General features: G+C 51.8%; 1 protein-coding gene and 1 pseudogene across 1 annotated transcript in view; one reads left to right on the forward strand and one right to left on the reverse strand.

Annotated features, from left to right (window-relative positions):
- CYP2T3P (cytochrome P450 family 2 subfamily T member 3, pseudogene) lies at window positions 4,266-6,900 on the forward strand (annotated as a pseudogene).
- Window positions 5,181-14,388, reverse strand: part of LOC124904790 (uncharacterized) — a 57,419-nt gene continuing 48,211 nt past the window's right edge. Inside the window, exon 3 of the mRNA XM_047439802.1 lies at window positions 5,181-6,971. Within this exon, the coding sequence (XP_047295758.1) occupies window positions 6,283-6,971 (689 nt within the window). The 3' untranslated portion in view covers window positions 5,181-6,282. The remainder of the gene's footprint in view (window positions 6,972-14,388) is intronic.

Genomic DNA, 14,388 nt, shown 5'->3' on the forward strand with positions numbered 1-14,388 from the left:
AACTCCTGGCCTCAAGTGATCCTCTAGCCTCAGCCTCCCAAAGTTCTGGACAACCCGTGCACACCACCATGCCCTACTCAGACACTGCACTTCTAACTACTACCTTTTAATTCACAAGTCAGAGACCCAGAAAGAAAGAGGCAGACACCCTTAAATACAGAGAAGAGCAGAGAAACACAGACACTAAGATATGGGAGGCAGGGGGAATCGAGAGAGAGAATGGAAAGAAACAGAGAAATGACCAGAGAAAGACAGATGAGCAATGACAGTGGGAGTTCCGAGGACTGAGGCTCCCTCCCTCAATCCCCAGCCCCTCTTTTCTTTTTTTTCTTTTTTCTTTTCTTTTTTTTTTTTTTGGACAGAATCTTGCTCTGTTGCCCAGGCTGGAGTGCAGTGGCATGATCTCAGCTCACTGCAACCTCCACCTCCAGGGCTCAAGTGATTCTCATGCCTCAGCCTCTCGAGTAGCTGGGATTACAGGCACGTACCACTATGCCCAGCTAATTTTTGTATTTTTAGTAGAGATGGGGTTTCACCATGTTGGCCAGGCTCGTCTCGAACTACTGGCCTCAAGTGATCTGCCCACCTCAGCCTCCCAAAGTGCTGGGATTACAGGCATGAACCACTGCACTAGGCCCTCCCACCCTCTCACTGAAATTCTCTGAAATTCTCCCGTTTGGAGTGACGATAGCAACCCCAGGCATGTACCCTCCCAACCTGGGACCCGACCTAATACCCTAACATCCTGCTGACAGTGGCTGTTTTTGCGGGGCAGGCGTCCCAAAGCACATCAAGCCAGATTCAAGCAGAGTGGAACTGGCCCCTCAGCCATCAGTGGAGGTGGCCTGAGAGGCTCTACCCTAAACGGGGTCTCCCCAAGGCGATGCAGAAACTGGGACATGCTCTGCTGAGCATGGGGCTTACTGGAGTGAGGCTTATAGGCAGTCCCCACATGGGGATTAAGGTGTCAGCTCTTTAATCCCCTCACTGTTCCCATCACAGGCTGACCAGAGTCGGCCCCAGGGCCCAGCCAGGGACACAGAGGTTGGGGGAGAGAGGGAGACACAGAGAGACTCAGAGGTCCTGAGAAAGACAGGCAGAGAGAGATGATGCAGAAAAACACCTGGAGACACTGAAAAGAGATGGAGAGGAAAAGGAAGAGACAGATAACGCAGGGATGGCAGAGAAATCCTGGAAAACAGAGACCGGGAGGAGAAAGACAGCCACTGAGAAAAGGGAAAGACAGCGATGTCCAGAGAGAGGAAAGACAAAGATAAATAAAGAGAACAGAAATGAAGAGAGATAGAGAGACCTGAGAGAAAAAGAAAAAGGGAGGAAAAGAAAGAGAGAAACAGAGAAATCCAGTCTAATTACAAAGAGATAGAAACACCAAGGCGGGAGGATCACTTGAGCCCAGGAGTTTGAGACCAGCCTGGGCAACATAACGAGACCTGGTCTCTATAAATATTTTAAAAATTAGCTAGGCATGGTGGCACGCACCTCTAGTCCCAGCTACTTGGGAGGCTCAGGTGGGAGGATCACTTGAGCCCAGGCAGTCATGGCTGCAGTGAGCTGTGATGGTGCCACTGCACTCCAGCCTGGGCAACAGAACAAGACAGATGGAAGGGAAGGGAAGAGAAGAGAGAAGAAGAAAGGGAAAAGAGGGGAGGGGAGGGAAGAAAGAGGCTGGGCACGGTGGCTCACGACTGTGATCCTAGCACTTTAGGAGGCTGAGGCAGGAGGATTGCTTGAGACCAAGAGTTGAAGACCAACCTGGCCAACTTAACAAGACCCCATCTCTATAAAAAAACAAAGAGAGGTAGGGAGGAAGAAAAATTGGGCATTCATTCAACAAACATTTACTAAGTGCCTACTGCTGTGCTGAGCGCTATTTTAAGTGCTGGGATACAGAAGCAAACAAGACAAAATCCTTGCTCTGGAAGAGCTGACATTCCAGAGGACAGCCCACCCGAGCAAAATGGAGGAAGAGTCAGGAGCTGGGGAGAAACCAGAGGCCATAATAAAGAGGATCCATTAAAGCCTGTCACAGAGGGTGGGGTAGGGCTGGGGGAGGATGCAGCTTACTGTGCCCCACCACACTCCCGCTGTCAGTGGAGTCAGCAGCTCTGAGCAGGGGCCCTGCCAGACAACCCATGTCAGTCACCAGGTTCCAGAAAGGCTGACAGGTAGGAAGACCCAGGACAGGGCAGGACAGAATATGGAGGTACAAGGGGGTCAACATGCAGAAAGGCACCCTGAAGAAATAAGGAGAGGCACAGAAGTGCCAGGCTGAGACAAAGGGAAGCACAGACTGGGGGAGATACAGGGAGAGGAAGACACAGACATACTGAAAAGAGAGACAGAAAACAGACACAAACAGAGGCAGAGACTGAGAGAAAGGAGAGAGAGATGGGAAAAGATGGAAAGAGGAGAGAGAGAGAGATGAACACAGAAACATAGAGACTGAGCGTGAGGGAGGCTGGGCACGCTGGTTCATGCCTATACTCCCAGCACTTTGGGAGACCAAGGCAGAAAGATTGCTTGAGCCCAGGAGTTGGAGACCAGCCTGGGAAACACAGTGAGACCCTGTCTCTTCAAAAAATACAAAAATTGGCAGGATGTGGTGGTGTGTACCTGTGGTCCCAGCTACTCGGGAGGCTGAGGTGGGAGGATTGTTTGATCCCAGGTTGAGGCTGCAGTGAGCCATGATCATACCACTGCACTCCAGCCTGGGGGACAGAAGCCAGACTCTGTCTCAAAAAAAGAAAGAAAAGAAAAGAAGGAAGGAAAAGAAAGAAAAGAGAGAGAGAGCAAGTGAGACTGAGAGATGAAACAAAGAGACACAGAGAGACCCTCCCAGAGACAATGCCAGTCCTAGGCTCTGCACAGTCCCCCCCCCCCCGCCCACTGGCTCGCCAGGTCTGGGCCCTGTGCCAGGCACTTGGAGGAAGGCTGGATTTGGCCAAGCAGGGGCAGGCAGGAGGGTGGACCACATTCCTGAACAGTCTGTTCCAAATACAGCCCCAACCTCACTCACTGCTGCCACCACCGCAACCCTGGCCCATCCAGGCCTGAGTCTGCCCCCTCTAGCCCATGCCCTAGGATTGGGGGTAGTGGGGGATAGATGAGAGAATAAGGGATAAGTTTGTCTGCCATCATGGCCTGGCCTCAGACAAGGACTTGGGGGACTGGATACCAGGGGGTTCAGCAGCATGGGCACAGAACATTTGGGGGCATCTGGGAGCCAATGCCTTGGGAATAGAGATGGTAGATTCAGGGCAGGACATAATATGGAAGTACAAGGGGGTCAACATGCAGAAAGACACCCTGAAGAAATAGAGGCACAGAAGTGCCAGGCTGATGGACACCCAGAAGCCAGGGAAATTGAAGGCAGATCTGGGGAACAAGCGTAGCACACAGGGTCCCAAGAGCAATGGAAGTGACAAGGGCTCAGGTGTGAGCTCCTAGGAATCACAGGCACAGAGCACAGGAGTGCCAGGGGTGTCTTTAGAAGTGTATTTGAGCCAGGAGCAGTGGCTCACACCTGTAATCCCAGCACTTTGGGAGGCCGAGGCAGGCGGATCACCTGAAGTCATGAGTTCAAAATCTGCCTGGCCAACATGGTGAAACTCCGTCTCTACTAAAAATACAAAAATTAGCAGGGCCTGGTGGTGCACGCCTGTAATCGCAGCCACTTGGGAGGCTGAGGCAGGAGAATCTTGAACCTGGTAGGCGGAGGTTGCAGTGAGCCGAGATCGCACCACTGCACTCCAGCCTGGGCGACAAGAGCGAAACTCTGAAAAAAAAAAGAAGGAGAAGAAGGAGAAGAAGAAGGAAGAAGAAGAAGAAGAAGTGTATTTGAGAGTCGGTGTGTATTTAGGAATCAGAGGTACAGGGTACAGCGTTCAGGGGGCCCAGAGATGGCCCGGAGATTGAGGAATACACACCTACAGGCCAAATAAATTGGACTCAAAGGTGCTAGGGGCTCAGGAGGGTGCACCTGTTGGCCAGGTGTGTTGACATGAAAATGCTGGTGTACGAAAGATGTTAAGTGGGGCAGGCTGAGGCAGGCACAAAAAAAAAAGCCAGGAGGAGCCAGGGCACAGTTCCACCAGGGCTGGGGGTGGGCTGGAGACGTCGGGCTGGGGAATCCATGGAATGAGCAGCCCTGAGATGCCCACTCCTCCCACATCGGGTCTCTGCCCCTGCTCCACCCAAGACCCCTTGGAAATCAAATAGAGGTGCAGGCGTGGAGAATTGCAGGCATGATGATCGCGGGTATCGCTGCGCTGCTGTTGTGGCTTCTGGTGCTGGTGCCGGCGTGGTGGGGGTAGGGTGGGTGCCGCGCTCAGATGCGGGGGTCCCTACCTCCCCGGCCCAGGCTGCTCCCATTGCTGGGGAACTTGCAGCTGCAGTCCGGAGGCCTGGACCGCGCGCTCCATTCCCGACAGGAATGGGGGAACGGAATTCTGGATTCGTGGAGGTGGGGCTGGGGACTAGAACTCCTCCTGAACGAAGACAGCTGAGGGCTTGTACTCTATGATCTTGAGGAAGGACAGGAAGGATGAGTGCTCCGGACTGCTGAGTACTAGGAAAGGAGAATAGGGAGTGGAGAGCCTGGGGCCGGGACACTGGGTCGTAAGGAAGGAGCCCAGAGCAGGAAATCAGGTTGTGGGAAGAGGGGAGCAGGGGGTCTGTTCTCCTGGTTCAGGGTGGGGAGGTACTGAGGGCCCAGGAGACACTCTGAGGGTACAGGAGGTTGGGAATCTGGACTTCTAGGTCCCAAGGGAAGAAGGAAGTGGGGGCCTGGACTCCCGCATCTCAGGGAGGAAGGAGCTGGGGATCTGAATTCCTGGACCTGAGGAATGAGGGTCTGAGACGAGGACTCCTGGGTCTGAAGGAAGAGGGAGCTGGGGGCAATGGCTCCGATGAGGAACCCTATGGGCACCCGCTGAGCACCGGCTACCCGTAGCTCTCCGGCCGCTGGGGCCGGGTGTTCACAGTGCGGCTGGGCCCGCGCCCTGCGGTGGTGCTGTGCGGCTACGCAGCGCTGCGGGACGCGTTAGTGCTACAGGCGGATGCGGTCTCCGGCCGCGGGTCCATGGCAGTCTTCGAACGCTTCACACGCGGAAACAGTGAGGCCCCGGCGCTGGACTTGCCGGTCCGGACGCTCCAGGCTGGGCGGGTAAATGGTAGAGGCGGGCAAATGGGGGCGGGGCCTAATAGAGACTCCAGCTAATGAGGTGCAAACGGCCGAGAGAGGGCGGGGCGGCGCTAAAGCGTAAGGTTAGAATGGAGGTTCATCCTGCAGCCAACAGGAGAAAAGAGCCTAAGATTCAAAGTCCCAGAGCCAGCCTAGGTCAGGGATGGAGCCCAGCAAAGGCGGGGCCAATGTGTGGATAGGGCACTTGGAGGTCTGGTAAGGCAGCAAAACGAACGAAGCCGGCCGCAGGAGTCGGAGGCCCCGAAAGGGATGTAGCCAGTGACCCGGCGCTTCCTGGATGGGGCGTGGCCGGTTCCCGGGCCCGCCTCCTTTCCCGTCCCCACCACAGGAATCTTGTTTTCTAACCGGCCGTGCTGGTGGACACTGCGCAATTTTGCACTTGGAGCGCCGAAGAAGTTCGGGTTGGATACGCGGACCATCGAGGCGCGTGTCCTGGATGAGGCGGCTTGTCTGCTAGACGAATTTCAAGCCACCATTGCTTCGGCCTGGCCGGGAGAGCGGAAGGGCCTGGTGTGGGAGAGTCCCTTGCACTGCCAAGACGGGGCCACTGGAAGGTATTTGGGTGGAAGAAAGCCAGTAAGCCCATGGGGCTGGCTGGGGGCAGGACCACGCGTTATGACCACCGTCCTGTTCCTACCCCCAGGAGCCCCGTTTGACCCCGTGCGGCTACTGGGTAATGCTGTATCCAGTGTTACCTGTTCTTGTCTTCGGGAACCGCTATGGCTACGGGGACCCGGAGTTCCTGAGGTCCTGAACCTCCTAAGTGACAACTTCCGCATCATGAGTTCCAAATGGGGCGAGGTGAGAGGGCCGGCCACAATCTCTCCCTTGTGCGTCCAGCCTTATGCCAAATCCCGAGTACACAGACGTACCTACAATGGGACAGTTAGATTCTTGGAAGAGTTCTAGAACCTCCAATATCAAAGTCCCTGTAGGGAAACTAAGGCCTAGTGGGCATGTCCAGGGCCCTTGTTGAGACCCTGTCTCTCCAGATGTACATTTGCCTGTCTCTCATGGACTGGCTCCCGGGCCCGCACCACCAAATCTTCCAAAACTTTTCAGAGCTGCAGGTCTTCATCTCTGAGCAAATCCAACAACACTGGCACATGAGGCAGCCGGCGGAGCCCCGCGATTTCATCGATTGCTTGGCCAGATGGGTAAGGCATGGGTCCCAGCTCCCTAAACTCTATCCATGCCGCCCACCAACAGGTGCCTGGCGCGCGGCAGCCCATCTTCTCTGCCCACAGAAACAGCAAGACCCAGAGAGCCATTTCCAGGAGGAGACGTTGGTAATGACGATGCAACTTTTTTTTTTTTTTTTTTTTGGTGGCACAGAAACCACGAGCACCACCCTGTGCTCCATATGGGCTCCTCATTCTGCTTAAGTACCCAGAGGTGGCAGGTCTGCGAGCCAGAGAGACCCAGAATGGGAGGCTGCGGTTTGGAGATGGCTGGAGGGTCCCGGAAGTGCACAGCCTCCCTCTGCCCCAGCCAAGGGGCAGGAGCTGGACCCTGTGGTAGGGCAGAGGCCTGTCCCAAGCCCGGACGACCACGTGCAATGGCCCTACACCAACGCAGTGCTGCTGGAGATCCAGCGCTTCATCAGCGTGGTGCCGCGCACCCTCACCCTCGACACCCACCTGCACAGCCACTGTCTGGCCAAAGGTGCCCACTGAGTCTGGAGATCCTGTGTGGGGCCCCGATGCATGAGCGTATTCCGAGATCAGCCAGAATCGGCAGGTGTGCGCTGTGCAGACCCAAACACAATCAGTTACCCCTGGAGCAGGAAAGTAGACCTGCCTTCCCTTCAGCATTTTTTTTTTTTTTTGAGATGGCATGATCTCGGCTCACTGCAACCTCCACCTCCCCAATACAAGTAATTCTCCTGCCTCAGCCTCCCTAGTAGCTGGGATAACAGGCACCCACCACCACGCCTGTCTAATTTTTGTATTTTTAGTAGAGACGGGGTTTCACCATGTTGGCCAGGCTGGTCTCAAACTCCTGACCTCAAGTGATCCATCCTTCTCGGCCTCCCAGAGTGCTGGGATTACAGGCGTGAGCTACCCACCCAGCCTATTCCCTTGGGCTTTTAAAAAGCCATTTCGGCCAGGCTGGTCCTGAACTCCTGCCCTCATGTCGGCCAGGCTGGTCCTGATCTTCCCACCTCGGTCTCCCAAAGTGCTGGGATTACAGGTGTGAGCCACCGTCCATGGCCCATGATGTTGTTTTGAAGACTCAGTGAGGACATGTGTGTACTAGACTTGGCACACAAGAGTTGGTCAAATACATTTACTGCTCCCCACCCTTCTAATAAACCAAATGCAGCTGTGGGATAGTAGGGGGAGGCACTGGGATAGCTAAGCAGGGAGGGGATCCTGGGGCTCCAGGGATGGGCAGAGACTCAGATGCTCAGATCTGGTATGGAGCCCCATGACTGAACCCCACTGAGATTTTGGGTTCTTTAATACAACAGTGAACCTTTCAATGACCATGAAGGTGTCTCAGCCTCCTGAGTAGCTGGGATTACAGGCGCATGCCACCATGCCTAGCTAATTTTTGTATTTTTAGTAGAGACGGGGTTTCACCATGTTGGCCAGGCTGGTCTCGAACTCCTGACCTCAAGCAATCCACCCGCCTCGGCCTCCCAAAGTGCTGGGATTACAGGCATGAACCACCACACCTGGCCAAGACTCCAACTCTTAAACAAACAAAAAGACACTCATATTGGATTCAAGCCCAGCTAATGACCTCATCTTAGCTTGATCATCTGCAAAGACCCTTTCCCCAAATAATATCACATTCACAGGTCCTGGGGTTGAAGATTTCAATATCTTTTGGGAGCACAAAATTCAAAGTATAACAATGATGGAGATGTAGAGAAATGGACATGTTCCAAAGACATTTAGGAGGCAAAATCAATGACTCAGGGATGGGTTGCTTATGGCCAGTTGGGGAAAGAAATGTGTTGAGCATGAACCTGGAACAATGGAACAGATGGAAATTTTCTTAGTAGAGATGGGGTTTCACCATCTTGGCTAGGCTGGTCTCAAACTCCTGACCTCAAGTGATCAGCCTGCCTCAGCCTCCCAAAGTGCTGGGATTACAGGCATGAGCCAAACACTCCTGGCCTCAGATGGAAAATTTCCAAACACACACAGGGCTGGGGGCTGCTGTGGTCTTGCCAACTGCTCCAGGCATGCATGTTGGGGGCCACAGCATCCCTGTCCGTGGGGATGTCATCCAGAACAGTCCCTGCCCCTGGAAAGGTGGAAACTGCAAGAGGCACCCCCATTACAGACTGAATCCAGGAACCTTACAACGAATATTTGAAACTTAAAAATAGAGACTCTTAGCGCTGTGGGATCATAAACTTATAGAATAATAATGGTTAACATTTACAGAGCCCATCTAGATCTGAGCATTGCACTGTGCAATTTACATTTATGACCTTATTTAACCCTCCCATTGCCTTCCAAGTCAGAGATCCCCATTCTCTAAATAAGGAATAGCTCAGAGGGAGAATGGTCTCTGGGATCTCCAGGGTTAGAAAGTGACAGATTTGGGCCAAGCACAGTGCTCATGCCTGTAATCCCAGCACTTTGGGAAGCCGAGGCGGGCAGATCACTTGAGGCCAGGAGTTCAAGACCAGCCTGGCCAACATGGTGAAACCCCGTCTCTACTAAAAATACAAAAATTAGCCAGGCATGGTGGCGCACGCCTGTAGTCTCAGCTACTCAGGAGGCTGAGGTGGGAGAATCGCTGAAACCTGGGAGACAGAGGTGGCAGTGAGCCGAGATCATGCCACTGTACTCCAGCCTGGGTGACAGAGCAAGACTCTGTCTCAAAAAAAAAAAAAAAGTGACAGATTTGGATTCAACCCTAGGTCTGCCCATCTCCAAAACCCTTAAGCAATAGCTTTCCTTGCACTTTCAACAACAGTCACAGCAAGAATGCTCTCATTACAGGCCAGGCATGGTGGCTCACACCTGTAATCCCAGCACTTTGGGAGGCTGAGGCAGGCAGATCACTTGAGGTCAGGAGTTCGAGATCAGCCTGGCCAACATGGTAAGAACGGTCTTTACTAAAAATGCAAAAATTAGCCAGGTGTGGTGGCGTGTGCCTATAATCCCAGCTACTCGAGAAGCTAAGGGACGAGAATCACTTGAACCCAGGAGGTGGGGGTTGCAGTGAGCCGAGATTGTGCCACTGCACTCCAGCCTGGGCAACAGAGTGAGACTCCATCTCAAACAAAAAAAAAAGCTCTCATTACAGAGCCTGCTGTGAGCCGGAACTACCTAAATATTTGACAGGCATTGTACAGCTTGGCCCCCATTTCGCAGATGAAGAAACCGAGGCTCAGAGATGCTAAGCCATTTTCCCAAAGTCACCAGCAAGTAGAATGCCCAAGGTGTGGCTTGAATCCAAGACTGTTGTCTCTCTCCAAAGTCCACCTCAGAGCAGTGGAAGGGACCACCTCACCTACCCTGACACTTGAAGATGAAAGAAGTGTGGACCACAGAAGGAAAGACCTCATGCAAGATCCACAGCAAACCATGGCCAAGGGAACTGGGATGGCAATGGGGAAGAAGTAGAGCTCTTGCATCAGAGCCCTGTATCTGAGCCAAGGGTGGTGGCTCATGCCTGTAATCCCAGCACTTTGGAAGGCTGAGGCGGGCGGATCACGAGGTCAGGTATTTGAGACCAGCCTGGCCAACATGGTGAAACCCTGTCTCTACTAAAAATACAAAAATTAGCTGGGCATGATGGTGTGTGCCTGTAATCCCAGCTACTCAGGAGGCTGAGGCAGGAGAATCGCTTGAGTTTGGGAGGTGGAGGTTGCAGTGAGCCAAGATCAGGCCATCGCACTCCAGCCTGGGCAACAGAGCAAGAAAAAAAACAGCCCTGTATCTGTAGACATTTCTCTGTGTATCTCTCTCACACCCTTCTTGAGAAGGACATAAAATCTGTGGACAAAGCAGGTGTGGGCCCTTAATCTCCCAAGGAATTCTTCTGAACTTTCTTTGAGACAGAATCTCACTCTATCACCCAGGCTGGAGTGCAATGGAGCCATCTCGGCTCACTGCAACCTCCACCTTCTGGGTTCCAGTGGTTCTCCTGCCTCAGCCTCCTGAGTAGCTAGGATTACAGGCATGCGCGACACCTGGCTAATTTTTGTATTTTTAGTAGAGATGGGGTTTCGCCATGTTGGCCAGGCTGGTCTGGAACTCCTGACCTCACGTGATCTGCCTGCCTCGGCCTCCCAAAGTGCTGGGATTACAAGTGTGAGCCACCGTGCCCCACCCACAGGGTTGTTTTGAAGACTTAGTGAGGACATGTGTGTCCTAGACCTGGTACACAAGAGTTGGTCAAATACATTTACTGCTCCCCACCCTTCTAATAAACCAAATGCAGCACTGGGATGTCGGGGGGAGGCACAGGGATAGCTGAGCAAGGAGGGGATCCTGGGGCTCCAGAGGCAGGCGGGGGACTCAGATGCTCAGATCTGATATGGAGCCCCATGACTGTGAACCCCACTGAGGTTTTGGGTTCTTTAATACAATAGTTAACCCTTCCTTGACTATGACACCCAGGAGCCATCCTAGCCTAGCCCTTGGACTCCATCTGGTGCCAGAATGGCCCAGGGCTTGGATATCTCAAAATATCAGCTGACAACAGGTCAGTAAATATTCTGAGAAAATGAAAAATGGACAACCTGAACCCCAAGCCTTGCTTCCGCCTGAACGCTGACCCAGACTTCGGTCACATTCTGAGACCAGATTCCTGGTCACTCAGTGAGCACTGGACCTGGACCACCCATCCAAGCTACTGACTCCACGCTGATCCTGGCCACAGCGTGAGCCATGAAAGGCACCTCAGGGAGAAGGAACAGCAAGAGGAAAGGGCAGGAGGCTTGGAACTGTGTTGTGTTTGGCTAGAGGTAACAAGAGAAAAAGTTTAGCCCAGAGGGTCCATCGGGGAAAATTTTGGGACATGGACCATGAGAGGTCCTTTGGATTCTTAGAAATATCTCTGAATGTCCCACCAAGGAGTTTTGACTTTTTCCTAGGGCCTTTGGAACCACAGGAGATTTAAAGTAGGGGAAGTCACAATCAAATCTGTGCTGTAGAAAAATCACTCTGAAACCAGACACGGTGGCTAATGCCTGTAATCCCAGCCTGGGTGACATAGCGAGACCACGTCTCTACAAAAAATAAGAAAATTAGCTAGGGGTGGTAGCATGAGCCTGTAGCCCCGGCTACTCAGGAGACTAAGGCAGGAGGATCGCTTGAGCCCAGGAGTTCGAAGCTGTAGTGAGCTGTGATTGCACCACTGCACTCCAGCCTGATTGACAGAGCGAGACCCTGTCAAAGAAAAAAGAAAGAAAGGAAAAGGAAGGAAAGAAGGAAGGAAGGAAGGGAGGGAGGGAGGGAGGGAGGGACAGAGGGAATCTCTGGACCTTGAGGGGAATCCACAGAACTGGATCTGCTGACAGATGTTGGCTAAGTTACCAATGGCTCATGGGAACAAGGATATCTATCAGGACATCTACAGGAAAACAGCCTGAAAAATGTCCATATTAATTAAGGTAAAGACCAGGTTGTTGTAACCAACAGATCCCAAAATGCAATCATTCAAATAAAATACAAGTTTCTTTCTTTCTTTTGTGTCCCTCTTGAAGTAGACAGTTAGTCCAGCACTGCAAGGTGGTTCCCCTCCTTGTGGTCAATCATGGACCCAGATTCCTTCAAACTCGTTGCTCTGCTATAGTTCAGTGGTTCTCAAAGTGCAGCCTCCAGACCTGCAGCATCAGCATCACCTTGGAACTTTTTTTTTTTTTTTTTTTAGACAGACAGGGTCTTGCTCTGTCACCCAGGCTGGAATGCAGTTATGCGATATCAGCTCACTCCAGCCTCAACCTCCTGCACCCAAGCAATCCTACTGCCTTAGCCTCCCAAGTAGCCAGGACTATAGGCATGCACCACACACCCAGCTATCTGAAACTTGCTAAAAACTCAAATTCTTAAACCCCACCCCAGACCTACTGAATCAGAAACCCAAAACCTGTGTTTTAACAAGGCCTGCAGGCAATTCTGAGGCATGTTCTCAGCAGAGCATCACTACCCTACAGTATTATCATGATCTTCATGGTCAAAGAGCAGAAGGTTTTGTACAGCTTTTCCCCCCTTTTTTCTTTTCTTTTTTTTTTTTTTTTTTTTTTTTTTTGAGATGCAATTTCACTCTTGTTGCCCAGGCTGGAGTGCAATGGCACAATCTCAGCTCACTGCAACCTCCACCTCCCAGGTTCAAGCAATTCTCGTCTCAGCCTCCGGAGTAGCTGGGATTACAGGCATGCACCACCACACCCGGCTAGGTTGTATTTTTAGTAGAGATGGGGTTTCTCCATGTTGGTCAGGCTGGTCTCAAACTCCTGACCTCAGGTGATCCTCCTGCCTCGGCCTCCCAAATTGCTGGGATTACAGGCATGAGCCACCAAGTCTGGCCCCCTTTTTTCTTTTCTTTCCTTTTCTTTCTTTTTCTTTCTTTTTTTTTTTTTTTTGAGATGGAATCTCACTCTGTCACCCAGGCTGGAGTGCAGTGGCATGATCTCAGCTCACTGCAATGTCCACCTCCCCAATACAAGTAATTCTCCTGCCTCAGCCTCCCGAGTAGCTGGGATTACAGGTGCACACCACCACGCCCAGCTAATTTTTGCATTTTTCATAGAAATGGGGTTTCGCCATGTTGGCCAGGCTGGTCTTGAACTCCTGACCTCAGATGATCCACACACCTCGGCCTCCCAAAGTGCTGGGATTACAGGCGTGAGCCACTGCACCTGGCTGGTTTTCTACTTCTTGAGTCATCCACTCCAGTACAGAAGATGGAAGGGATGGAAGACCTCTGGCTGTTCAAAGACCTCGGACCCAGAAGAAACTTGAATTTTGGGCACACAACATGGGTTACGAGGGTGAGGGAGTCCAGTCTAGCATAATGGTGAGTAAGATGGGTCCTGGAGACAGGCTACCTTATTTTAAATCCCAAATGTGTGACTTTCCACAAGTAACATCTCCTTGAGCCTCAGTTCCCTCTTCCATAACAGGGGAATCATGACAGTATTATCTGTCTCATGGTGTTGCTATGAGAATTCATGGTGTTATGTCCCTGACACGTAACAAGCCCTCAAGTGTTAGTTTAATATTAGTCTTAACATTTTAAGGTTGATAGGAGTGTCTTTTTGTGCCAAGCCTTGCGTTAAAGGATTTTCTACAGTATCACATTGAATCCTCATGGTGTATCCATCATGATTGCTGTATGTTATACAGAGATAGGTTTTGTTAAAATACTCATTTTATAAAGGAGGAAACTGAAGGGCAGACTGGTGAAGTCATTTATATATATCAAAGGAAATATAGATTGTAGGTGCTGGAACTGGAATTCTAACTCAGGTATGATTGACGTAGCCTCAAGTCTTCATCACCTCTCAAGAAAACCAGCTTTCTCCCCGGCATGGTGGTTCACGCTTGTAATCCCAGCACTTTGGGAGGCCAAGGTAGGTGGATCACAGGTCAGGAGCTCAAGACCAGCCTGGCCGACATGGTGAAACCCCATCTCTACTAAAAATACGGGCGTGGTGGCAGGCGCCTGTAATCCCAGTTACCTGGGAGGCTGAGGCAGGAGAACTGCTTGGACCCTGGAGGCAGAGGTTGAGGTGACTCGAGATTGTGCCACTGCACTCCAGCCTGGGCAACAGAGCGAGATTCCGTCTCAAAGAAAAAAAAAGTAATGAAATGAATAAAATGAGTCCTAGAGCCAGTAAATGTCGTAAATGTCTCAGCTAGTCAGGTAGTAAAAGGTCTCAACTAGGCAGTGGCAGAGCAGGATTCAAATTCAGGGCTGTTGTGATGCCTCCGCAGACTCTGAGCGCCACCTGGTGGTAATTTGTCTGTGCCTCTTCTGACGTGGAAGAACAGCAACTAACACACTAACACGGCATTTACTATGGGCCAGCCATTGTTCTAAGTGCTTTACTTAGATTTAGCTTTTTTTTTTTTTTTTTCTTTTTTGAGATGGAGTCCCACTCTGTCTTCCAGGCTGGAGTGCAGTGGCACAATCTTGGCTCACTGCAACCTCTGCCTCCCGGGTTCAAGCGATTCTCCTGCCTCAGC

The sequence above is a fragment of the Homo sapiens genome, chromosome 19, assembly GCF_000001405.40.
Source record: "Homo sapiens chromosome 19, GRCh38.p14 Primary Assembly".
In the NCBI taxonomy this organism is placed as follows: domain Eukaryota; kingdom Metazoa; phylum Chordata; class Mammalia; order Primates; family Hominidae; genus Homo; species Homo sapiens.